The following is a 24,902-nucleotide window of genomic DNA, read 5'->3' on the forward strand; positions in this document are numbered from 1 at the left end:
TATGGCAGTGGGTGCTATAGAGATGTGCAGACCCTATTGTGACCTCCCTTTGGTATAGGGATGCTCTGGAGCCCCTGGCTTCATTGTCCACTAAGGTCTGGCAGGTCTGATTGCCTCTTTTCAGGCACTGAGTGGTGGGGTATGCCATCCTCCCCTGCTGGAACCAGCCTTGGCCTGCCCTGTTAGTCATCAAAAATAGATCTCACCAGGGAACAATCTTCTCAGGTTGTTGTGTAATTTGAGTGAGCCAAGGTGAGTGTTTTAGGGACAAGCAGCATCAACTTCGGAATCTTCAACTGGGCCTGAGCACTTATTTCTCAGAAATAATAGAATCTTGCTCACTTTTCTTTCTTTTTTTTTTTTTTTTTAGATGGAGTCTCGCTCTGTTGCCCAGGCTGGAGTGCAGTGGATCAGTCTAGCTCATTGCAGCCTCCACCTCCTGGGTTCAAGAGATTCTCCTGCCTCAGCCTCCTGTGTAGCTGGGATTACAGGTGTGCGCCACCACGCCTGGCTAATAATTCTATTTTTAGTAGAGTTGGGGTCTCACCATGTTGGCCAGGCTGCTCTCGAACTCCTGACCTCAAGTGATCTGCCCGCCTCGGCCTCCCAAAGAGCTGGGATTATAGGTGTGAGTCACCATGCCTGGCCTCTTGCTCACTTTTCATACTAAAACAACAAATTACAGGCTGTAGTTTAACCTCTCTACTGCATGCATAAATGCAGTGTGGTACGAGTGCCTCTGTAGCCCATAACTTCAGTTTCCTTGTTGCTAGCAGTCTGTGGTGACACTATACTAATCTCACATGCAGGAACCAATGAGGATTAGCCAGGGACACAGGAGGAGTCACCTTGCATTCAGAATGACTCAAGTTTAGTCTCAACTTGACCATTAGCTCTCTGAGTGATCTTGCCCATGTTAATTCTCTTGATCTTAGTTTCTTCAGAGCCAGTGAGACATTGCTTGAAAGTGACTTAGCCTGGTATACCCAGGTCTGTCAGACTTATAGTCTGGTGCTCTCTTGGGTGAACTTGAGGGCCTTCTGCCAAGGCAGGAATGGCTTCTTTTAAAAAAAAATTATTTTATTATTATTTTTTTTTTTGTAGAGACGGGGGGTCTCACTATGTTTCCTAGGCTGGTCTCAAACTCCTGGACTCAAGTGATCCTTCAGCCTCGGCCTCCCAAAGTACAGAGATTATAGGTGTGAGCTACCAGTACCAGCCTCCAGGAATGGCTTCTAAGGCTTCAGGCTGTTTATAGAGAGGAAAGCACCTGGGAGCTGATGGCACTCTCAGGTTTCCCAAAATGACAGTTCTGCATATGCATCTTAATCACCTACTTTTTTTCCCTCCACCCCCAAATGCTATTCACAGTCCTTGTTTATGATAGAAGCTGAAGCTTACAGGTGACAATTTTTGTGCCTGTATGAAAGGAAACATGACTGACTCCACTTATCCACACGACACCTGCTTTCAAGGTTGTTCAGTGTTGGAATAATTTTTGCTTGATGGTAACCTAGGGATGACCCAAGGTTTCATTAGTTAAAGCCAGCCCTGTGGGATGCATGAAGTCTAGCCTCTGTCCCTGTAAAAATCCCACCAGAACCATTTTAGAATTCACTCAGGACTTCACCCCTCCCGCTCCTGGTGCTGCTTATGGAACTAAAGAATCCTCATCTTCTCAGCCCTGGGACACATTGTCCTCATATAAAGCGAGGTGGCAATCAGGGAACAGGGGCGAGTCTTGTGCTTATTTCAGTTATAATAGGAAGGCTCTACCAGGACTCATCATTGTCCCAACAATAGTCGATTCCAGGCCCCTTCTTTGAACTCATTTCAGTGTCTCAGGTTCTGTCCTTGGTGTCTGTCTTCACTGCTTGCTCAGTTGTATTTGAACATGGCTAGAGATGAGCACACTTCTCTTCTCCAGTAAAAAAGCCTGCAAGAAAAGTCTTGGACTTCTTGAACTGCTATTCAGTTGTCTTTTTTATTCAATGTATTTTTTGAGATGGAGGGGGTCTCACTTTGTTGCCCAGGATGGTGTTGAACTCCTGGCCACAAGTGATCCTTCTGCCTCAGAGTTCCAAAGTGCAGAGATTACAGGCTTGAGCTACCACAACCGGTCTCTTGTCAGTTTTTGAGGTTACTTAAGAGGTTAATGCCTTTAAATTAGTTTGCAGTTGTTTTGCTTTTGCCTGCCTTCTTGCCCAAATGCGCAAGTGCTTATTTAGTAATCTGACTCAAGTGCTTTGTGTCCCCAGAGTCCCCACTTTTCCAGGATTCATTGTCTTTTTTTTTTTTTTTTTTTTTTTGAGACACAGTCTTGCTCTGTTGTGCAGGCTGGAGCGCAGTGGCACTGTCGGCTCACTGCAACCTCCACCTCCTAGGTTCCAGAAATTCTCGTGCCTCAGCCTCCCAAGTATTTGGGATTAGAGTCACACACCACCACACCTGGCTAATTTTTTTATATTTTTAGTAGAGATGGGGTTTTGCCATGTTGGCCAGGCTGGTCTTGAATGCCTGACCTCAGGTGATCTACCCGCTCGGCCTCCCAAAGTGCTGGGATTACAGACATGAGCCACCACACCCGGCTGGATTCAGTCTTAACTTGCTCTTTTTTTTTTTTTGCATCTCACTCCCTTGCCAGGCTGGAGTGCAACGGTGTGATCATAGTTCACTGCATCCTTGAACTCCTGGGGTCAAAAGATCCTCTTGCCCCAGTTTCCCGAGTGGTTGGGACTACAGGTGTGTGTCACCACGCCTGGCTAATTATTTTATTTTTCGTAGAGACAAGGTCTGACTGTGTTGCCCAGGCTAGTCTTGAGCTCCTAGGCTTAGGTGATCCTCCCACCTTGGCCTCCCAAAGTGTCAGGATTATAGGTGTGAGCCACTGCACCCAGCCTGGATTTGCTCTTTTATCAAGAGGTTAATATTTATTCTTCCGTTCAGTGAACCGTGGGATTGAATTCCCCCAGCGATTGAAATGAAAGGGCTTATGTATAACATTTCCTGAGGAATGGTAGTACCAGAGTTCAGAGGAGACCTCAGGCCATTTATTCTATAAACTCAGAAGCTGTAGTTCTAGATGATGTGGCTTCTTCAGGGTGTTGAGAAGTCTCTGTTATCTCGTGCCTTGTTGGATTAGAACTGATTGAGCTCTGTCTGCTGCCCCAAACATGTGGCTCAGCCAATCTCCAGTGGCATCTGCAATGTGGGTATTCTAGCCTCCAGTGCTCACGTGGCTCACCTTAGAAAGGGCAGATATTCCTATTTCCTGACGCTGCTGGAGAATGAGGTCTGAGTCAGAAGTCCTCAGGTGTGACCTGCCCAGAACTATCTGAAATTGCTGGATTTCTTGTTCTTCCTCAGTGTTTAACAATCACCCAATTGCTCATTCTCACCAGCGACTTCCTCAGTAAGAGCTCAATATTTGAGGTGGTGCTGCATTTTGTCAAACATTCATGCGTGTTAGCCCACTTAGTCTTCGCAGCACACAGTGGATTAATGGATTTTTAAAAGCTGGTATTTATGCACGATGGAATACTACTCAACCATAAACAAGAAGGAAATTCTGTCATTTGTGACTACATGGATGCATCTAGAGGACATTATGCTAAGTGAAGTAAGCCAAAGAAAGAAAGACAAATGGTGCATGATATCACTTATATGTGAAATCTGAAAAAGTCAGTTATAGAAGGAGAGTGTAACATGTTGGTTACCAGCGGCTGGGGGAAGGGAAGGGTGGGTGTGGAAAGGGGAGATGTTGATCAAAGGGTACAAAATTTCAGTTAGGAGAAATAAGGTCTGATGATCTGCCTTACAGCATGGTGACTATAGTTAATATGGTTAATATTATAATAGTATTGTATACTTCAAAATTGGTAAAAGAGTGGATTTTAAAAGTTGTCACCACAAAGAAATGATAAGCATGTGAGCTGATGGATATGTTAATAACCCTGATTTAATTATTCCCCAATGTATACATGTGTCCAAACATCACACTGTACCCCATAAATATAATTGTCAGTTAAAAACTTAGGAGTCAAGTCAGATCTGAAGAGAAGTCAAAACAGATTTCATACAGTTAATTTAGAGACATGGGACCCAATTAAAAATTTGTATTACTTTACTTGGTATTTTAGAATTTAGCTGTTATTTTCTTGTTACACACACAGGCACAGGCACACAAATCCTCTATTTAACTGGCTTTCTCAGTAGGAACTCCATCTGTGTATTTGCAACAGCTGTAACTCAGGTTGGATGCTCCCCAGGGTGCTGGCCTATAAGTCATATTGGACCCTGATCTGAATCTGAGGGAATCTGGATCTCTCTTGTAGGAAGCTTTTGGTTTAACTGGGAAGACAGGATGACAGTCAGTTGTGGAAGCTGAAGCGTAATCACCTCATATTAATATGGTGGCAATTTTATATCGGAGTGAGCTCTGAGCTGCAAACAGCCTTCTAGGAAGCAGGCAGGGGACCCCCATCCAGGGTGATGGTAAGAATCCTGATGCCCAACTGCAAGGTGTTCAGCAGGGAGGGAGCACTCGTGGAGTCCCAGTGCAGAAGTCTCTGAGCAGCCACTTAGCCTCCCTGTGTTTGTGGGGTAACAACCCGAGTTCATGTTGTGGGCATCTCATGCAGTGTAGTAGCTGGTCACTGTCAAGTGTCACTATTTCATTGAGTCAGAAGCCTGCAGAATTGTTCTCATTCCAGGGAGTGAGTCAGTCTGCTGTTGCTTACTCTCGGTGCTGGCTGAGCTCAGCAACCTGCTCTCTTCCTTCAGTTCAGGTTTCTCCAGGGCAAAGAAGTCTTTATTGTTCCTTTCTGTATGACCAGATGGGAAATGAATTATAATATAGTCCTTAGATTATATTCCCACCTGGTAGCAATGCACTGAGTTACCTGACCTGAAATTTGTTGGACTTAGTCTCCATGGAGGAGGATTTACCATCTTCGTTGTCTCAGAAGTCCTGGTAGTGCCTCATGCCAGCAATTTAGCAGGAGCAAAAGCTTTGAGACAGTGTTCTGGATCTGCTGAGCTGGTCTAAAGGAACCTCTTTTGCTTGAAGTAACTGTGATAGGAACTTTGTTACTGCTTCTGTTAGCTCAGGTGTTGGAATGAGAATCAGCAGCTGATGAGGTGAACAGCTAGGAGTACTGGAATTATGGAGTAGTGGAGGTAGATTTTATAAACAGAGGGTCCCAGTTTTTTGGAAATGGGAAAGAGAGAGGGTAGACTGGCCTTTCTAGAATTTGTAACAGAAAAGAGGACCCAGGAGCTTCCATTGACTAGTTAGTTAATGCAGTGCGGGATCTTAGCTGGTTTGCTTGGTCCAATTCCTGTCTCTCGGTTTCTTTTTTCCCTTCCCTTCGCTGCCTTCCCCTCCCTCTTCCCTTTTTCTTTCCAAGAGAATTGAGTCACTCCATATAAAAGAAGCAGCCAGTTGGCTAAAAAGTCCAACAAAAAACAAGTATTTATAGCTCTCCAAATTTCCCACTTGTCATTATCAGTATACTTTTGCACACAGTTATAGTCGGTGTTTGGGATCCTTTTTAAAAAAATAAAAAGTTTCTGTAGGCTTTTCCATGCATGAACACAGCTTATCAACTTGCCCCGGCTGTGCCAGGATTCCATTGTTGACTGTTGTTTGAGCAGTCATGCCCTTTGTTCTTAGGCTGTGTGTTGTTTTTTTCCTAACATCATAGTATGGCTGGGTATTATTTTGATACAGATTACAATTACTATTACTATTTCTTGAAGTGTATTTCCCAGAGTGGAATATTTTAGGATCTTTTTTTCTCTTTTGTGGGGGTGGGGAACATGTAGCTTCTTGTGGATATTAGACATTGAAGTCTAAAAAGGTTCTATATTTATGATTTGGCCCTCAATTTTCTAGAGATTCCAATGGTTCCTGCAAAGAAAAGAGCATTCAAGTATAGAAACCAGCCAGACTAAGTCTGGACATGTAGCTTTTCAGAAAGTGAAAAAAAATTATGTTTCTGCAGTTGCAAGGTGGCCTCTGAATGCCACACTGTGTGGCCACTCCCTTGGACAGTGGCTAGGCCACAGGGTCGCCTCCCCTGGCCCCAGTCTGTGGGTTGAATATGCTAACCGAGCCTTCCCAGGAGCCTCCTCTGCCCCCAGCCCCCAGGTCTGTACAGATGGTAGTTGGTACTTTCAGCCCGCCTTGAGAACTCAGTATTCTTCCTGTTAGCTTTCCTTCAAAGTAAAATCGGTAGAACCTATTTTGAGTGTAGAAAATTTGAAGTCGTGGACAGCAGATTACAAAAAATTGCCCACCACCATGCCTGGCTCATTTTTGTATTTCTAGTAGAGATGGGCTTTCACCATGTTGGCCAGGCTGGTCTCGAACTGCTGACCTCAGGTGATCTGCCCACCTCGGCCTCCCTAAATGCTGGGATTATAGGTGCGAACCACTGTGCCTGGCTCCTTTTTGTATTTTTCGGAGAAGCACAAGGACTTGTTGTTTAATTAAGCAAGACTATACTCTCCCAGAGCATGCAGTTATTATTGAGTAAAACACAGTTAATGAGATTTAATCACGTTCCCTATCACTGTTGTGCAGCATGATAAGTAGGTGCAAATGGCAAGAAGCACGCTGAAGTTACTGCAGTTGGTAACCTGGGCCATGGATGGCACTTGTCTTTGCCTCATTTTGCCTGTAAGAAGCATGGGGCCTGTGGTCCTGGGGTACCTGGACCCTCAGCCTGGTGTGTGTGTGCCCTCAGCCTGGTCCTTTACTTCCATCACCCATCTAGAGGCTCCAGGACCCTTTACTGCACCCCTCCCTCCTCTAGATAGCTCAGTGTTTTCATCCCAGCACCTTTTTCTCTGCTGCCTGAGAACTGAGCAGCCAGAGACAAATTTTGGCTCTCAGGGTCCTCAAGGGTGTACAGCAAAGCTGTTCTTATTATTTAAAGTATTTTATTTATTTATTTTTGAGACAGAGTCTTACTTTGTCGGCCAGGCTGGAGTGCAGTGGCATGATCTCGACTCACTGCAACCTCTGTCTCCCAGGCTCAAGAAATCCTCCTACATCAGCCTCCCAAGTAGCTGGGATTACAGGCTGGAGTGCAGTGGCTCCATCTCGGCTCACTGCAACCTCCGCCTCCCAGGTTCAAGCGATTCTCCTGCCTCAGCCTCCTGAGTAGCTGGGATTACAGGTGTGTGCCACCATGCCTGGCTAATTTTTGTATTTTTAGTAGAGACAGGGTTTTACCATGTTGGCCAGGCCGGTCTCGGACTCCTGACCTCCTGATCTGCCCACCTCGGCCTCCCAAAGTGTTGGGATTACAGGCGTGAGCCACCGCGCCCGGCTAGCAAAGCTGTACTTTTACCAAAAAAAAAAAAGAAAACATTTATAAATCAAGGTCTGAAGGCCCATGTGAGGCTTATTCTACAGCTTGCAATGCCTGTTTTTGCCCCTTGGTAAGTGGACGCACAGCTGGGCAGCCTTATGCTATCTCTGTGAACTACCCATTTCTGGCTTTGTTCATAATATTCCCTTGATCTGGAGGCCCTCCCCCAGCCCTGCCCCAAATCCTGTCTGTGTTGAGGGTCCTGCCCCAGGAAGCCCTCTGCATACTCTTCCCTGCATGTAATACCTGCCTGCTTTCACATTCTTCTAGACTGTGCTGTGCATCGTACAGTTCATCAGCATTATTGCAGAGTAGAGTGTCTCTGATTTGGAGTCAAGAGAAGGTTCCATTTTTCTGTACATCCCGATGTTTATTTTCTGAGTGTTCTCAGACATCACTAAGCCTCAGTCAAAATAAAGTATGATCATGATGTAACATTCATTGAGTGCTTATCACATGGTAGGCATTGTGCTATATGAGTTATTGCTTGACTTCCTAAAATAATCCCAGTAGAGATGCTAAATCTAAAGGTGAGAGAGATGGTTCAAAAAGACCTCAGTGAGCAAACCATGTACTATAATATCCTAAAAGATAACAAAAATGTAACTAGGTATCTAGAGAAAACTCAGGAAGGATATGTGCCTTGGGCCTTTTAAGGACCATTTCTTAACACTTCTGTGTTCTTCTTGACACCTGTTTCTGGGTAGAGCACATAGAAAATGCTCAGTAAATAAGTTCTTTTTCCTTGGCCCAGTTTGGCCTGATTTGGCCCCAGTTCTGTCTTTGTGAGTTACTTTATTAGTTGTCGGTGCTACTGTGCTGCTATTCATGTGGAAGATTCCCCAAATGGGCTGCGCCTTACATTGCCTGAGCAGAAGCCCCGAGGGATGGAGGATGAGCTTGCCTTGTTATGGGACTGTGTTTCCCTGGCTGACAAAGGCTCAGCATTTGCAGCAGGCAATGGGAATTGATTGGCCAACTTAATATTTCCTTCAGCCTAGCAAAGTCCTGAGTAGGCTAGGGACAGTCTGCTTTTTTGGTAACTCCTGTAGGCTGCCTTCTGCACAAGGCACCCAGCCTCTCACAGGTAGGATGAACTGGCCTCAGCACGCTTGCAGAGGGGTGGAACTGTGCGTTGCTTGCCAAGCTTTTTGTTTCCCTAAGGTTTTTGAGGTTTTCTTTGTTTTTGGTAACTTTCAATTTTTTTTTTTTTTTTTTTTTTTTGGACAGAGTTTCACTCTTATTGCCCAGGCTGGAGTGCAGTGGCGCGATCTTGGCTCACTGCAACTTCTGCTTCGTAGGTTCAAGTGATTCTCCTGCCTCAGCCTCCTGAGTAGCTGGGATTACAGGCACGCGCCACCACATCCGGCTAATTTTGCATTTTTAGTAGAAACAGGGTTTCTCCATGTTGGTCAGGCTGGTCTTAAACTCCTAACCTCAGGTGATCCACCCACCTTGGCCTCCCAAAGTGGTGGGATTACAGGCATGAGCCACCGTGTCTGGCCTAACTTTTAATTTTGATACGGTCTTTTTTTTTTTTTTTTTTTTTTTTTTAAGACAGTTTCGCTCTTGTTGCCCAGGCTGGAGTGCAACGGCGTGATCTCGGCTCACTGCAACCTCTGCCTCCTGGGCTCAAGAGATTCTCCTGCCTGAGCCTCCCGAGTAGCTGGGATTACAAGTGTGCACCACCATGCCCGGCTATTTTTTGTATTTTTAGTAGAGACAGGGTTTCACCATGTTAACCAGGCTAGTCTCAAACTCCAGTCTGCCTCGGCCTCCCAAAGTGCTGGGATTACAGGCATGAGCCACTGTGCCCTGCCTTGATACAGTTTTAAGCATACAGAAAAATGGTAAGAATAGTACAAAGAACTCTCATACCTCTTCCCCAGATTCACTGCTAGGATTTTGCCTTGTTTGCTTTTCTGACTTGCCAGTGTCCCCCACCCTGCAGCATATGCACATGCACACACACTGTCTTCTGAACCATCTGACAGGGAGTTGCAGGCAGTGTACCTTTACTTCTGAATACCCCAGTGTGTATTTCTTAGGAACAAAGACATTCTCTTATATAATCGCAGTACAATTATTTTTAAAAACCAGCAAGCTTAATGTCAATACAATGCTATTACCTAATACATTGTTCATATTCAGATTTTTTCCATATTCCACTATGGTCCCAGTAATGGCAGAGCTTTATTTTAAAGAAAACAATCCTGGGGTGTGTGGGTGTCACCTTGGTTACATTCGCTCTGAGGAAAGCAGAACCGACAGGTATTTGGGGAAGTGACTGCCGTGGGTGCCACATCACCAGCTCCTTGTGTCTCTGCAGGACCAGAGGAGCGAGAGCAGCAAGAACCACACCCAGCAGCAATGTCAGCGGAAGTGGAAACCTCAGAGGGGGTAGACGAGTCAGAAAAAAAGAACTCTGGGGCCCTAGAAAAGGAGAACCAAATGAGGTGAGCGATGGGGGCTGGCTGCACTGAATCAGGTGGGCCCAGCACCTGTCGTGCTCAGCACACCTGGTTTTGTCTGTTGGCAGCACTGGGGAGTGGCCATGGGCCATGAGCTCTGGACCCCTGGGTGCCTGCTTGGCCCTGCAGGGACCGCATACAGCTTCGGCTGCTTAGAACTCTCCCCACTGGTCCATTGTCTCATCCAAGGAGGCAGGGCAGGTGCTCCTGGGAGTGCTGATAGGATTTGATGGTAGTTATCCTTTTTTCTTTTTAAAAACTTGTGCGTTTCCTCATCTGGGCTGAGAAAGGGTAAACGCAGGCAAAGCTGGCTCTGTTCAGTCTTTTACCACATAAAAGACTGCAGGGCAGCCTTTCCTTACTCTGTATAGGGACAGCTCATGCTAAACCTGAGCTTCCAGGCCCTGTTCTGCATCATTAGCCTCTCATAGCCCTGTCATTGGCCAAGTTTTTTTTTTATCCCTTGAAATAATTGCTAATAATAAATTGATTCTCAGCACATGGATGATAACGAGCTAATCTCCTAAAGAAGACAGCAGAAGCCAGACCATGATAAGGCCAAATTTTTCTCACTCTTGTAGATGGATTGTGTGGACACATGTAAGCCCCTGCCCAAGTACCACCATCTTTAGGATCACATGTTTTCTACCTTGTCCATCCATCCACACACCTTTACAACTGTGTAATTTCGTTAAGCAGCACAAACCCAGCGTCCTGGCCCTAGCCTCTCGGTTGTCTCCTTTGCATCCTTCCGTGCTTGGTCCTAGTCACATATAGTCTCAAAGAAGCTGTGGGTCCAAGGTGGGAGGAAGGCAGTAGGGCCATCTGAGGAGACCCATGGTCACAGCCTTACTGAGGTGTGTGAATTCCAGAAGACACGTTCCAAGGCAGGCTGTTCTTAGAGAAGCCAGCAAATACTGAAGGGAATACAGATGTGTGTCTCTTCGACCACTAGGTGGCCACAGAAGCAAAGCATTGCTCATTTGGGTGGTTCCCAACACAGACACATGGACGTGGGTACTACTCTCAAGGAGCAGGCCACAGTTATCCCTTGTGTCCTGAGTCCTTGGAGCAGAATGTCATGTCTGCTTGTCCTGTGTTCCCTGACAAGTTGCTGCTATTTGTGTTGGAGTGAAGTGTCTGAGAAGCCCCAGCCTCCAGTACAACAGGTGGTCACCTTGGGGTGTGGACTCAATCTTCTCTCTATGGTCCTTTCTGGAAAGCTGGGAAGGGCTAATTGACACACAAACACCTCCCATCTCTCCACAGAATGGCTGACCTCTCGGAGCTCCTGAAGGAAGGGACCAAGGAAGCACACGACCGGGCAGAAAACACCCAGTTTGTCAAGGACTTCTTGAAAGGCAACATTAAGAAGGAGCTGTTTAAGGTTTGTGCCCCGCATTGGGTTCCAGACTGTCATATGGGGTTGGGGTGGGGGCCTTGGTCCCATGAGAAAAGTGCCCCTGGAGCCACTCTGAGGGAAAAGCTGGGCTTTTCTCCACACTCCATTCCTTCTTGACGTTAAGCTCTGGCTCTCGGCTGGGTACAGTGGCTCATGTCTGTAATCCCAGCACTTTGGGAGGCCGAGGCAGGTGGATCACTTGAGGCCAGGAGTTTGAGACCAGCCTGGCCAACATGGTGAAACCCTGTCTCTACTAAGAATACAAAAATTAGCCGGGTGTGGTGGCGCGTGCCTGTACTCCCAGCTACTTGGGAGGCTGAGGTGGGAGAGTCACTTGAACCTGGGAGGCGGAGGTTACAGTGAGCCGAGATCGTCCCACTGTACTCCAGCCTGGGTGACAGAGCGAGACTCTTTACCCCGCCAAAAAAAAAAAAAATTGGTTCTCATGGCTTAGATAGAATAACATAGTGGTGTGAAGGAAGCAAAAGTATGCGTGTTCCAAAGACTTCACCATGCCATTCCTTTAAGAAACAAAAGCTTCCTTGTGTGTTAAATAATTCACTACATAAAAATGGACCATAGGATTGGGTCTTTGGGGTTGGGGGTTGTCACTTGAGCCTCTGCATCCAGCTGCTCGGATGTGGTGTGCTCAGGCATAGCTGGCCTCCTCCTGTCACCTCCACAGCTGGCCACCACGGCACTTTACTTCACATACTCAGCCCTCGAGGAGGAAATGGAGCGCAACAAGGACCATCCAGCCTTTGCCCCTTTGTACTTCCCCATGGAGCTGCACCGGAAGGAGGCGCTGACCAAGGACATGGAGTATTTCTTTGGTGAAAACTGGGAGGAGCAGGTGCAGTGCCCCAAGGCTGCCCAGAAGTACGTGGAGCGGATCCACTACATAGGGCAGAACGAGCCGGAGCTACTGGTGGCCCATGCATACACCCGCTACATGGGGGATCTCTCGGGGGGCCAGGTGCTGAAGAAGGTGGCCCAGCGAGCACTGAAACTCCCCAGCACAGGGGAAGGGACCCAGTTCTACCTGTTTGAGAATGTGGACAATGCCCAGCAGTTCAAGCAGCTCTACCGGGCCAGGATGAACGCCCTGGACCTGAACATGAAGACCAAAGAGAGGATCGTGGAGGAGGCCAACAAGGCTTTTGAGTATAACATGCAGGTACTATTGGGGGCTGCCAGCTGCTAGGGCTGAAGAGGGAAACTTTGACAGTGGTAGCAGATCCATAGTGGCCCATGAAGGCACACATGGCATTAGGACAGATGAGCTGCAGGGTGCCGAGAGGAAGGTGGCCACCAGATTGGCCACCAGAGCTTGTGGGCCCAGTGGGTGGTTCCCAGCATGGAGGCCTGGTGTGATAGATGCCAGTGGGTAGTGTTTTGGGAAGGGTGAGTCCTCTCGCACATAGAGGGGTCTGGAAGAATGGAGCTGGCTTCCTCCCTCATTGCAGGATGCTGGTCTTGAAGAATGGTTAATTTTCTTTTCAAGTTTTGCTCTGAGAAGCCCTGCTTTATAAGTTAATAGAGAGCCAGTGCCACCAAGGAGAGTAAATAAGCTCTGTTTACAAGTAGCCTTTAGATGAGGCTGAACCTGGGGAAGCTTACTCTGTCCCCAGGTCCTGTCAGCTTCCACTGAGGCCTCCCAGGGCACTCAGGATGAGTATGCCCTGCCACAGTCTCATTCTCCCATGTTCCAGGTTTTCTGTTGCTTCTTGATAAAAAAATAACCAGCACCTAGAAATGGGGATGTACTCATGCCCTCCTGTCTGTGCTGTGGTAGTTTCAGTGGCTTGAGCCACCTCAGAGAAGGCTACATCTCTGGTCAGTTCCCAGGGGAGACCCAGCATTTGGCAGCCTTCTTGGGGTACCAATATCCACACCTCCCCAGAGCTCTTGCTAGGGAGGGAAGACCATCAGGCAGTGCAGCTGCCGCCCACCAGTGCTGCTTGCTGTGTAGTTGGCACACCTGAGCAAGCTCACCTGCTCCAGCTCACTCTCTCTGGAGGGCGTCCTCTAAAAGGAGAGTGTAGCCAGGCGCAGTAGCTCATGCCTGTAATCCCAGCACTTTGGGAGGCTGAGGCAGGGGCATTACTTGACCCCAGGAGTTGAAGACCAGCCTGGGCAACCAAGGTGAGACACCATCTCCCCACAAAATTTAAAAATTAGCCAGGTATGGTGGTACACACACGTAGGAGGATAAGGTGGGAGGACCACTTGAGCCTAGGAGTTTGAGGCTGCAGTGAGTTAGCCATGTTCATAACACTGCACTCTAGCCTGGGCAACAGAGACCTCATCTCAAAAGACATTTAAAAAAAAAAAAAAAGTATGGGCAGCCCAAAGATGGCTCAGTCGATCCTCTGCTCCTGCAGATATTCAATGAACTGGACCAGGCCGGCTCCACACTGGCCAGAGAGACCTTGGAGGATGGGTTCCCTGTACACGATGGGAAAGGAGACATGCGTAAATGCCCTTTCTACGCTGCTGAACAAGACAAAGGTAGGTCTGTGTGTCCTGAGCTCCCCTCCTGGGGCAGGTGTAGCAGGAGACTCCACTGATGCCATGTCTCCTATTGGTGCTGCCACACAGGTGCCCTGGAGGGCAGCAGCTGTCCCTTCCGAACAGCTATGGCTGTGCTGAGGAAGCCCAGCCTCCAGTTCATCCTGGCCGCTGGTGTGGCCCTAGCTGCTGGACTCTTGGCCTGGTACTACATGTGAAGCACCCATCATGCCACACCGGTACCCTCCTCCCGACTGACCACTGGCCTACCCCTTTCTCCAGCCCTGACTAAACTACCACCTCAGGTGACTTTTTAAAAAATGCTGGGTTTAAGAAAGGCAACCAATAAAAGCCAGATGCTAGAGCCTCTGCCTGACAGCATCCTCTCTATGGGCCATATTCCGCACTGGGCACAGGCCGTCACCCTGGGAGCAGTCGGCACAGTGCAGCAAGCCTGGCCCCCGACCCAGCTCTACTCCAGGCTTCCACACTTCTGGGCCCTAGGCTGCTTCCGGTAGTCCCTGTTTTTGCAGTACATGGGTGACTATCTCCCCTGTTGGAGGTGAGTGGCCTGTAAGTCCAAGCTGTGCGAGGGGGCCTTGCTGGATGCTGCTGTACAACTTCTGGGCCTCTCTTGGACCCTGGGAGTGAGGGTGGGTGTGGGTGGAAGCCTCAGAGGCCTTGGGAGCTCATCCCTCTCACCCAGAATCCCTCTAACCCCTTGGGTGCGGTTTGCTCAGCCCCAGCTTATCTCCTCCTCCGCGCTGTGTAAATGCTCCAGCACTCAATAAAGTGGGCTTTGCAAGCTACCTCCTTCCCTGCCTCCTGGCACCGGGTGGGTCAAGCCACCTCCCCATAGGAGAGTCCCTCAGAAGCAAGGGCATGTTATGTCTGTGTGGGGAGTGGACATCGTCCATCATGGCTCCCAGCAGCCACCTCCTGCTCTGGGTCTACTCTCCAGCACCTCTAGTCTCCAAAGCAAAGTCACTCTAACCGTCTTGCAAAGATCTTTAAAGTGTATCCAGCACTGCTATTTTTTAGCTCAGAAATACCTTAGAGGTTTCCTACTTAAAAGGTTTTTTTAAAATATATATATATATTTAAAAATAAGGGTTTTAAAAAAGCACATATTTGTATTTAAACAATTCATTCTCTAAAAGAGAAACATGAACTTAAATAATTTTATTAATAGGAATCTACTACCTGTAAAAGTTTTATTTCAAAAAGGGTTAAAAAGTAGGGAAACTCTTTAAACTACTGACCAAGACTGCCACCTTCATAATTCAGATGAGTTAGTGCAGAGATGGCCAGGGCCAGAGGTCGCCCAGAACCTGCGTGTGCAGACTGCGCTCTGTTAGTCTTCTGCCTGTCAGCCTCAGCCCAGTCTGTGTTGCTTAAGGGTGCGCCTCCCCAGGGCTGGATGATGCTGTGCTCAAGCCTGCGGGTAGGAGGGCTCCAGCTTGCAGATCCCATGCGTGGATGCCATATATAGATGGTTGAAACCAGCATCAGAGGAAGGAAGGTGACCTTACAGCCACTGCCGAGACCAACGTGTGCCCTGGCCCAGTCACAGCTGGAAATCCCAGGGCTGGTCTACACCCGACTCTGGTTTGGTTTAATTAGGTCCTTACGTGTTGGTGTTGTCCCAGGCAGTTGGCATGGCATCAGCACTGAGGGTGTGAGACCCTGAGGACTCAGCCTCCCGTCCTGCCAGTAGACTGCCTGCAGCCCCACCCTCTTTCCCTCAAAAAAGAAGGAAGCCAGGCAAGAGAGCAGAGGCCCAGGGCGGGGGAGTGAAAGGGCCAATTTAATGAGAAACTACAAACTGAGACTGGGCCACGATTCACAGTGACAGGAGGCCATGCAGTGGCAGTGCGAGACCAGGAAGGACAGTGGCAGGATACAGTGGTCCAGGTGAGCAAGTTCACAAACCATTCAGGAAATAAAGACAGGGCGAGGCTGGTGTCCACCAAGGCAGTTCTACCACTTGTGGCTGCTCCTTCCTCGTCCCTAGCCCAGTGTGCCTGCAGGAGCAGGTGTGAGCAGGCACAGCAACAGCCTGTCAGCTGGGGTGAGGGGCCCGGCACTTACAGGGAAGAAAATCCATGGAGAAGGCTCTGCACATCCAAGCGCACCCACAAGGGGGACCCTCTGCCATCTCTTGCCCAGTTGGGATACACCAGCCACCAGGCAGAGGTCATACCCACACGCAGTGAGGACACAGGGCAGACGGGAAGGGGCTAGGCTCAGGGGCTCCTTCCGGCCCCAGCAATACAGGGTTCACAGAGGCATGGCCTGAAAGGGGGTCTGCACACTGACTCAAAGGGACAAGTTCCTTCTTAGCTACCAGGGTCTGATCATTCACCCAGGTACAGTGTCCTCTCTACCTGACACCAGGCAGCTCTCGGGCACTGGGACAGGGTATTAGACATCCTGGGCTTCTATACCTGAGAGTTCTGAGGGCCAGAGTTGGCAGTTTTACTTCCAGCCACCATGCCCCACCTCTAGCACCCCAGAGGCGCAAAGTACCCAGAAACAAACCCAGGCTTTGTGACCCTGTCCTACGTGGGCCCACCTGACTCCAGACAACTTACCCATTCTCGGCCCAGCAGGTCAGAAACGCCTGTGGCCACAGGCCTGGGGACTAACTGGCTAACTGCTCTGGCTGCTGTTGGTCCCAGGGGGAAAGAGTCTGGACTGAACCTGTACCTTGTTTGGAAACAGAGGCATCAGGACCCCAGCAGGAGACCCCTCCCAGCTTATCTTCCCGATCACACACACCAAGCAGACCAACAACACACAAGCTCATTGTCAGCCCCCTGCCACCCACTGACCCTTGGCCTTAAATCCCAACAGAATTTTTGCCAGAAGAGTCAGCGGCTCAGGTAGGGCAGGGTGAAGAGGACAGGACTTCTAGGGGATGGTGGCACGGCTCCCAGCCCCAAGTGGGAGCGGGAAAGTGACCACTGAGCACAGGGAGCAAAGCACAGGGGGCCAGACTGACAGGCGGGGGAGTCCCGAGTCCCAGCTCCGTTAGCACAGGCGCTTGTACGTGTAGATGTAGGCTTTGCAGCTGGGGCATGTGTGCGTCACATCCTTGAAGTCATTGATGAGGCAGGGGATCAGGCAGCAGCCCAGATCACATCTGAATCAGAGACAGGGAAGAACAGGCTGAGGCCTGCTGCGGAGGAGGCAGAGGCAGCCAGTTGACCCTGGTGCAGCCCCCACCCTACCAGTGCCCACACCACCTACCCCATGAAGCAACAGAAGAAACCCAGCACGAAATTCATCAAGCCAATCTCGTAGGAGATCTTGGTGGTGATGGCCTGCTGGCAGTGGGGACACACCGTCTGCACAGGCGCTCCCTCAAAGATCTCTCCCTGCAGCACTGTCACCGTGGTGGCAGCTCCTGAAGGGACCAGGACTGTGGCTGTGTGGCCCCCAGGGCCAGGGTAGGGCCCTGGCGTGTAGGGCCCTGGGGGGTAGTAGCCCATGGGTGGGTGGGGGCCTGGAGGAGGGTAGAAACCTGGAATGGCACAGAAGATGGAGGCGAGAGGTCACTGGCCTGCCACCTGCACCAGACAAAGAGATTGGCGCAAAGCCCCACGGTCCACAGCGCCCAGCGTGCAAGGCTACGCCTCAGACCTCCTACCGCCCTCCTAACGGGCCAGTGGGAGGCCTTACAGCTGGGGCCCTAAGTCAAGTGGGGCCACATTCTCCCAGCCCTTCCTGGTCCCCACCCCTTGGGGCCCATGACAGATGTGGCAGAGAGCCAGGCACATGGCCCGGTCCCTCTGCTCCTCTGTCTGTCTCCAGCATGCAAGGACAGGGCACTCAGCCTCAAGCCCATGACCAAGAGAGGGAAAGCCTTGCGGGTCACCCACCCCTCTCCTGCACACAAGGCGCCCCTCCCCACCCATGTCAGGTCCTGGTGTGCCAAGGACCAGCCCTTCCTGACCAGCCTGAATAAGAGCAGTCCCACCTTCCCACGTCCACAGTCCCTGTCCACACACAGCCTGAGCCCTAGGCAAGGGCTGGTTGGGCGTGTTGGAGTCCCTGCCCTACAGCAGATGCCCACCTGTACTGAGGACAGCCAGCGCAGGCCAGACAGCAGCCAGGAGTTCCCCATGCTCCCCTCAGATCCCTTCCCCACTCACCCGGAGGCATGTAGGTGCCATCTGCACTCATGTGTGGTGGGATGAAGCCAGGCTGGGGCATTGGGTGACCCGGCGGCTCATAGGGTGGGGGGCCAATGTCCGCAGGGGGCAGTGGCATGCCTGGAGGGGGCTGCATCACAGCTGGGGAGGAACGGCCTGGACAGAGAGAGGCAGAAAGAGGAGACTGAGCTGGAGCCTCTGCACGATGAGCTCGACCAGAGGCCACTGTTTTGGGACACAGATGGGGCCCAGGGGTAACCCTGGAGTGGGCATCACCACTTAGAGAGTCCCAACCATGCCATGGCGGCAGGGGGCTGCAATATGGAGCCTCAGGAACAGTGACCCCCTACCTGGGGTGGGCGGGGCTCCACTTTTCTCTTCCAGAAGTGGGGCTGTGGGGCCCCCAGGATAAGGAGGGGGAGGCTCGCTGGACATCTTCGCTGCTTCTCCTGGACATGGAGGGAAAACCCAGACATGAACTAAGCTCCCAGCCAGGTTCCTTCTCCTTCAGCCCTGTGGGGTGGCCAAGATGCTGCACAAGGCGTGTGACCATCCTCAGAAGGGTCTGCCTCCAGGCACTGGGGATCCCCCACCTTTCCCAGGGCCACCTAGCCCAGAGCCACCATCCTCACCTCTCAGTAGTCACCTGCTCTTCCCTGTTTGGAAGCTGAAGGGCAAGGACAGAACCCAGGAAGCAGGGCCCAGTGAGGTAAAGTCCCCCAAGGAGCCTAACTCAGCACTTGCCCCACACGAGAGCAGTTTGGCACCGAGCTCTCCCCTCCCCAAACGTTTAGCGGGCACTAAGGCAGTCGGAGGAGACACTGGACCGATCTCTGCCACAGGCTGCACTGGGAATGGGGGTTCTGGGGGATTTCTTACCTCAAATCCGTGCTACTCAGAGAAGGGAGGCAGGTGAGGCTCCTTCAGCTGCTGGCCTGGATGGACAGGGAACAGGCAGGGCTCCGGGAGCTGTTTCAGGGGAAGGAAAGGCAGGGCCCTCAGCAGGGAGCAAGGGCTGCCAAGCCAGGGCTGGGCCCAGGGGCCTGGGCATACCACACAGTTCCTCCCCTTCCACATCCGGCTTCTCCCTAGCTGTCACTCTGCCATCCACACACCCGACCACCCCTCCATTCCTCGGTCCCGTCGCAGGTCTGCTTCCTCCCTCCCCCAGGACTGCTGGCACCCAAGGGCCACGGCTGGGCCCTCTGCCTCCCCTCCCACCAGGCCTGAGCTCCCATGCATGAGGACTGGACTGCCAGGCAAGCTGTGCTCTGGCCTGTGCCCTTCTGGTTTGTTTGTTGAGGTGGGGGTCAGGGGGAAGAAGAGTCAAGTGAAATCTTTTCCCTCATTTCTGTCACCAAACTCTCTGAGCACAGCTCAGAAAGGTGGGAAGCTTTTGCTCTTACTTAGCATCATAAAGGACTTGGGAAGTGGGGTTCAGTTACCTTAGCTAAAAGTAATAAAATGAGACAAAAATCAGTTTCAGTGGAACAAAAAATACAGGGAAAGGAGTGTTTCCCAGACAGCCCAGCACCTGCAGGGGATGGAGGGCACATAAGTTTGAATATAAAGTTTAACAAATCAGGGGCAGGGCCAGAGGAACCAAGTCCAAGCTCTTGGGTTCAACTATAAAGTACCATGGAAGTTTGAAAACTGAAAGAGATCAAAAAGCTGTTAGAAGAAAATGCAGGCATCAATCTTTATGACCTTCGATTAGGCAGTGGTTTCTTAGATATGACACCAAAAGCAAAGCAACAAAAGAAAGAAAACTTAAAGTGGATGTCATCAGAATGAAAAACTCTTGTGCTTCAAAGGATACCATCACATTTTATAATTCATAGATCTGATAAAGGACTTGTATTAAGAAATACAAAGAACTCAACTCAATAACAGAAAGACAACCCAATTTTTAAAAGGATTTGAACAAAGACTTCTCAAAAGACAAATGGCCAAAAGCACATGAAAAACTACTGAGCGTCTTTTCATAAGGGAAATGAAAACCAAAACCACAAGGAGACCATTTCCTATCTACTAGGATGGCTAAAATTTAAAAAGACAGTAATAGGCATTATGTAGAAAAACTGGAACCCTCATACACTGCTGGTAGGGGACAGCCCCTGCAAACCTTTTGAAGAACTGCCAGCCCCTGTTCCCCTTTTGAGGAACAGTCTGGCAGTTCCTCAAAAGGTTAAACCTAGAGTTACCAGATGACCCAGCAATTCCACCCCTAGTTATCTGCCCAAAAGAAATGAAAACCTGTCTACACAGAAATTTGTACACAAATGTTCACAGCAGCATGAATCATAATAGCCAAAAAGTGGAAACAACCCAAATGTCCATCAACAAAGTGGATAAACAAAACCGTAGGCTGCCCAGACAATGGAAGACGATTCGGCTATAAAAAGGAAGGAAGCACTGACACCCTACAGCATGAACTCTGAAAACATGCTTGGTGAGAGAAGCCAGACACAAAAGGCCACATACTGTATGATTTCACTTATATGAAATGTCCCCAATAGGCAAACCCATAGAAACGGAAAGTACATTAGTAGCTGTTTAGGTCTGGGGGAGAGGGGAAATGGGGAACATGGAATCTCCTTCTGGGGTAACGAAGATGCTCTGAAACCGATTGTAGCAACAGTTGAACGATTCTGTGAATAACTAAAAACCACTGAATTGTACACTTTAAATGGGTGAATTGAATGGTACGTAAATTATGTCAATAAAACTTATTTTTAAAAAAAATGAGGGAAAAGAAAATTAGTCCTACTGCAGCCCATCTCCACATGTCCCTGCTGGTCTGTATGCACAGGCACCTGTACCTTTTGGTTTTGTTTTGTAGAGACGGGGGTCTCACTATGTTGCCCAGGCTGGTCTCGAACTCCTGGCCTCAAACAATCCTCCTGCCTCGGCCTCCTAAAGTGTTGGGATTACAGGCAGGAGCAACTGCGCCCAGCCCATACCATATAAAAATATAGTTGCTGTCCTGACAGTTTTAAATCCTTTTTTTTTTTTTTTTTTTTTTTTTGTGAGACAGAGTCTTGCTCTGTTGCCCAGGCTGGAGTGCAGTGGCGCGATCCTGGCTCACTGCAACGTCTGCCTCCCGGGTCCCAGCGATTCTCCTGCCTCAGCCTCCCAAGTAGCTGAGACTACAGGCACACGGCACCACGACTGGCTGATTTTTGTATTTTTTTAGTAGAGAAGGGATTTCACCACATTGACCAGGCTGGTAAATCCTTTTAATGCTGTGTCACACATATTCCATCTTACAAGACTCCGTGACCGTTGATATTAATATTCCACAAAATGGGCATACTTGACCAAACCCTATTAAGACATTTAGGCAAGGCCCTACTTGCTGCTTTCATGAAATACAAGAGAACACCTCTGTCCACCGCTCTTTCCCTTTTGTTAGATTATCTCCTCAGGCTAAGCTTGTCAGAGTGAGATGACTAGGTCAAAGGACATGAGCATTTTATGCCTTTTTGAAAGGATGCCAATTTATAGTGCCAGTTATTAATTTTCATATTAAAATGTCACTTATTTTTATATGCATTTCTTTGGCAATCAGGAGACAGAACATCTTTCCAAGTGTTCAGAAATTACACCTCTTCTGAGTTGCCTTATTATCCACAGAAGACATGGAGGCCTAGAAAAGGATGGGGCGGGGCATAAGTCTAGGACCCCAGCATGACTCTCCCACCCTCCTGCCTGCACAGTGAATTCCAATGGCACAGGGTTAAGAAAAGGGAGCAGTGGCCAGGTGCAGGGACTTATTCCTGTAATCTAATCTCAGCACTTTGGGAGACTGAAGCTGGCAGATGAACTGAGGCCAGGGGTTCGAAACCAGCATGGTCAACATGGCAAGACTCTTGTCTCTACAAAAGAAAAATTTTTAAATTAGGCATGATAATGTATGCCTGTAGTCCCAGCTACTGGGGAGGCTGAGGCAGGAGGATCACCTGAGCCCAAGACTCAGAGGATACAGTGAGCCATGATCAGGCCACTGCACTCTAGCCTGGGCAACAGTGCGAGACCCTGTCTCAAAAAACAAAAAAAAAAAAAACAGAACAGGGAGTAGCAGCAGTGCCTCTTGGGGCTGGTCCTGGGGTCCCTTGCCCAGGCTGCTCCTAGCCTGCCAGGTGCCCTCCTGCAGGGGAGAAGAGGGCAGCCTTTCATGGGGCTTTACCTGCGTCTGGAAAACTGCTCCAATACGTTGAGTTGGAATAAGTGCCAGCCCCTGCTACAAACTCCCAGACTCCCAGAAAATGCTCTCTGGCGCCTCTGGGTGGCACCACCGTCCACCAAGTGGCCCAACACTGTGGTCTGCAGTGGTCTTGCTCATCGGGGAATGGTCCAGGCCCTGGGATGCTCTGAGCAGACCAGGAAAATAAGCTGCACTGTGCTTGGTGAGTCACTGAAGCACCTGCAGATCCCAGCCTGGGTCCCTTGCAGGGAGCACACACACACACACGTGTGCACACACACCCCATCTCTGAGAATGCAGGTGTTGCCTTTCTCTGGCCCATCTTTTCATCAAAGTCAACAGATATAATCCTATGATCTCCTAGAGCTCAAAAATTCTATTTCTGGAATTCCACATACAGCCTTGCCCATGATGATAGGGTGTAAGCCCACAGGGCATAGCCCTCCTTTGGTGTTCACCCAACCTGGGTACAGAAAATGCAGGCCACAGGGAAGGGTCTGGACCTGCACAGGGCTGGCTTCCCCTCCAGCTCGATGGCCACACCAGAGCCCACCTTCTCTTTGCCCCTCACCGGGGGCCGCAGGGCCCTGTTGCTCCTCCGTGTCTTCCCCACCTAGGGCCATGCCTGCTACTCACTGCTCCCCCTCACCCCTCCATATCCACATGCGTCCTCCTGCTGCCTTCCTGAACCCCAGCAGAGACTGCAGGGCAGGTCCTTCTCTACCAAGGAGAGGATCTGGAAAACAGCTCATGAAGATTTCCCGAATTCAAACACCCATTCTCCCAGTGCCTTCCAATACAAAATCAAACATGCATTCCCACAAAACCATGTTGTGTAGGGTGTAATAAAAACTACAAGAATAATCTTTCAATCACACGATCAGAAGCAAAATAGTTTTCCAATAAAACGAGTACTGTTCAAATTAAGCTACAAAATGGAAAATGTCTGATCTGAAAATGCAGCCCCAGCACCTCTGCTGTGGGAAGGTGCTGGTGAGGGAGGGGGCTAGGAGACCTGGGGATCTGCCCAGTTCCCAACAGAGGAGGAAGGGGAGACTTGCGGGGTCTGGGGAGCCCACTGAAGTCAACTTGCAGCCCTGACAAATCCAAGAGAGGCTTCTTGGCCTTCTTGCTTTAAATCTTGGATTTATTAATTGCAAACAAAATAGGTGCCTGTTTGAAAATCTTTACAAGTCAATCACAAACTTAATAGTAAGTCACTCCTATGGAAGACCAGAGGCCTCTGCAAAGTCTACCCCTCCACACCCTCTGGGTTCTGTGGCATGTGAAGGTGTGGAGAAAAAACCTGTTTCTCCTCTGCTTTCACACCATAACAATCAACAGAAAAGACTTCTGTGGCAAAACATGTGGGGGTTTCTCCCCAATAACAAGCAAGCAGTCAGTTCTGCAGCGGACACCAGGTGGACGTCTTCTAGTGGCATTCAAGTCTGATGCTACCGTGTCAGATCCCACAGGTTGAGGGCTCAGTTCCATGACTGCCCCCCACTTCTGATCATCGCAATTCCTAGCTTGCGACCTGCGCTTCTGACAGACTGGCTACAAATCACTATCTTGGGAGCGGATTCCTTGTAAGAGGATTAGCTAGTCTTTTGTGGGTGCCTCTCCCCGCGGCCCTTCCACCATGGGATGACACAGCAAGAAGGCCCTTGCCAGATGCTGGCAGTGCCTTGATCCTGGACTTCCCAAGCACCACAGTTTTGATGACTGATGGTGAGGCTTAATGGGAGTTGTTTGGGACATGGGAGGTGGATTCCTCATGAATAGATAAATGCCCTCCCTGGGGTGGAGGAGAAGCGAGTGACTTCTCACTCTGTTAGTCCCCGCATCCTTGCTGGTTGTCAGAAAGAGCCCAGCGCTTCCCCTCCCCTTCTCACCCCCTCTCTCGCCATGTGATCTCTGCACAGAGACCCCCCGTGCCTTCCACCATGAATGGAAGCAGCCTGAGGCCCTCAACAGAAGCAGATGTTGGCACCGTGCCATCCTATAAAGCCTGCAGAACCAGGAACCAAATACTCTCTTTTCTTTATAAATTACTCAGCCTCAGGTAATTTATAGCAACACAAATAGACTAAGACACCAGCCTCCAGAACTGTAAGGAGATAAATTCCTCTTCTTTATGAATGACCCAGTCTCAGGTATTCTGTTAGAGAAGCACAATGGACTAATACTACATCAAGACTTGACAAGTGGTAGGTTTTTTTTTTTTTTAGACAGAGTCTCGCTCTATCACCAGGCTGGAGTGCAGTGGCGCAATCTTGGCTCACTGCAGCCTCCGCCTCCCGGGTTCAAGCGATTCTCCTGCCTCAGCCTCCTGAGGAGCTGGGACTACAGGCATGCCACCCATCTAATTTTTGTATTTTTAGTAGAGATGGGGTTTCACCATGTTGACCAGGATGGTCTCAATCTCTTGACCTCGTCATCTGCCCGCCTCGGCCTCCCAAAGTGCTGGGATTACAGGTGTGAGCCACCGCACTTGACCGACAAGTGGTAGTTTCTTAAGGGTTAGTTGCCACAGGAATTGGAAGCCTTAACAATGGTTTTTTTCTAATGTGTTACATTAGAAGTCATTGGTGTACCTTGCATTTGGAATGGGTCTTTTACATAGACATGATTTCTTAACATCATGTGTGGGTCACCTGAAAATACGGGTTCCTGTAATGCAGATCTACCAATGTTGACACATCTCATTGAACAATATATATTTTTTTAAATCACATTGCTGGTATCACTACCAATGTCATTAAAGTCACTAAA

At 49.5% G+C, this 24,902-nt stretch overlaps 2 protein-coding genes across 17 annotated transcripts in view, besides 4 other annotated features; one reads left to right on the forward strand and one right to left on the reverse strand.

Annotated features, from left to right (window-relative positions):
• Window positions 1–14,572, forward strand: part of HMOX2 (heme oxygenase 2) — a 35,612-nt gene extending 21,040 nt beyond the window's left edge. For 6 of the 11 annotated variants that reach the window (NM_001127206.3, NM_001286268.2, NM_001127204.2 and 3 more), the window contains 5 exons: window positions 9,709–9,835; window positions 11,120–11,237; window positions 11,938–12,429; window positions 13,637–13,763; window positions 13,854–14,572. In NM_001127206.3, the coding sequence (NP_001120678.1) occupies window positions 9,750–9,835; window positions 11,120–11,237; window positions 11,938–12,429; window positions 13,637–13,763; window positions 13,854–13,981 (951 nt within the window). In that variant the 5' untranslated portion in view covers window positions 9,709–9,749 and the 3' untranslated portion in view covers window positions 13,982–14,572. Of the gene's footprint in view, window positions 1–82; window positions 253–370; window positions 492–2,720; window positions 2,743–6,968; window positions 7,185–9,708; window positions 9,836–11,119; window positions 11,238–11,937; window positions 12,430–13,636; window positions 13,764–13,853 lie in introns of those variants that run through there. The other 5 variants (NM_001286270.2, NM_001286267.2, NM_001127205.2 and 2 more) reach the window with 5 other exon arrangements.
• Window positions 4,533–4,827: a silencer, noted in NCBI's record as "tiled region #9698; K562 Repressive non-DNase unmatched - State 19:H4K20". NCBI's record gives its function as "represses a minimal TATA promoter and a strong SV40 promoter by Sharpr-MPRA in K562 cells {active_cell/tissue: K562}" and the evidence as "EXISTENCE:reporter gene assay evidence [ECO:0000049][PMID:27701403]".
• Window positions 14,573–14,893: 321 nt separating the features above from the next.
• The window catches only part of CDIP1 (cell death inducing p53 target 1), a 28,105-nt gene continuing 18,096 nt past the window's right edge, over window positions 14,894–24,902 (reverse strand). For 4 of the 6 annotated variants that reach the window (NM_013399.3, XM_047434044.1, NM_001199054.2 and 1 more), the window contains 5 exons: window positions 18,800–18,889; window positions 18,271–18,369; window positions 17,921–18,076; window positions 17,016–17,289; window positions 14,894–16,908 (listed from right to left, as the gene is read on the reverse strand). In NM_013399.3, the coding sequence (NP_037531.2) occupies window positions 16,797–16,908; window positions 17,016–17,289; window positions 17,921–18,076; window positions 18,271–18,355 (627 nt within the window). In that variant the 5' untranslated portion in view covers window positions 18,356–18,369; window positions 18,800–18,889 and the 3' untranslated portion in view covers window positions 14,894–16,796. The remainder of the gene's footprint in view (window positions 16,909–17,015; window positions 17,290–17,920; window positions 18,077–18,270; window positions 18,370–18,799; window positions 18,890–24,902) is intronic. The other 2 variants (NM_001199056.2, NM_001199055.2) reach the window with 2 other exon arrangements.
• Window positions 17,442–17,969: an enhancer, noted in NCBI's record as "H3K4me1 hESC enhancer chr16:4563218-4563745 (GRCh37/hg19 assembly coordinates)". NCBI's record gives its function as "activates a minimal SCP1, AML or CMV promoter by ChIP-STARR-seq in naive H9 embryonic stem cells {active_cell/tissue: H9 hESC(naive)}" and the evidence as "EXISTENCE:reporter gene assay evidence [ECO:0000049][PMID:30033119]".
• Window positions 17,970–18,496: an enhancer, noted in NCBI's record as "H3K4me1 hESC enhancer chr16:4563746-4564272 (GRCh37/hg19 assembly coordinates)". NCBI's record gives its function as "activates a minimal SCP1, AML or CMV promoter by ChIP-STARR-seq in naive and primed H9 embryonic stem cells {active_cell/tissue: H9 hESC(naive and primed)}" and the evidence as "EXISTENCE:reporter gene assay evidence [ECO:0000049][PMID:30033119]".
• Window positions 18,497–19,024: an enhancer, noted in NCBI's record as "H3K4me1 hESC enhancer chr16:4564273-4564800 (GRCh37/hg19 assembly coordinates)". NCBI's record gives its function as "activates a minimal SCP1, AML or CMV promoter by ChIP-STARR-seq in naive H9 embryonic stem cells {active_cell/tissue: H9 hESC(naive)}" and the evidence as "EXISTENCE:reporter gene assay evidence [ECO:0000049][PMID:30033119]".

This window comes from Homo sapiens, chromosome 16, assembly GCF_000001405.40.
Source record: "Homo sapiens chromosome 16, GRCh38.p14 Primary Assembly".
Lineage (NCBI taxonomy): Eukaryota > Metazoa > Chordata > Mammalia > Primates > Hominidae > Homo > Homo sapiens.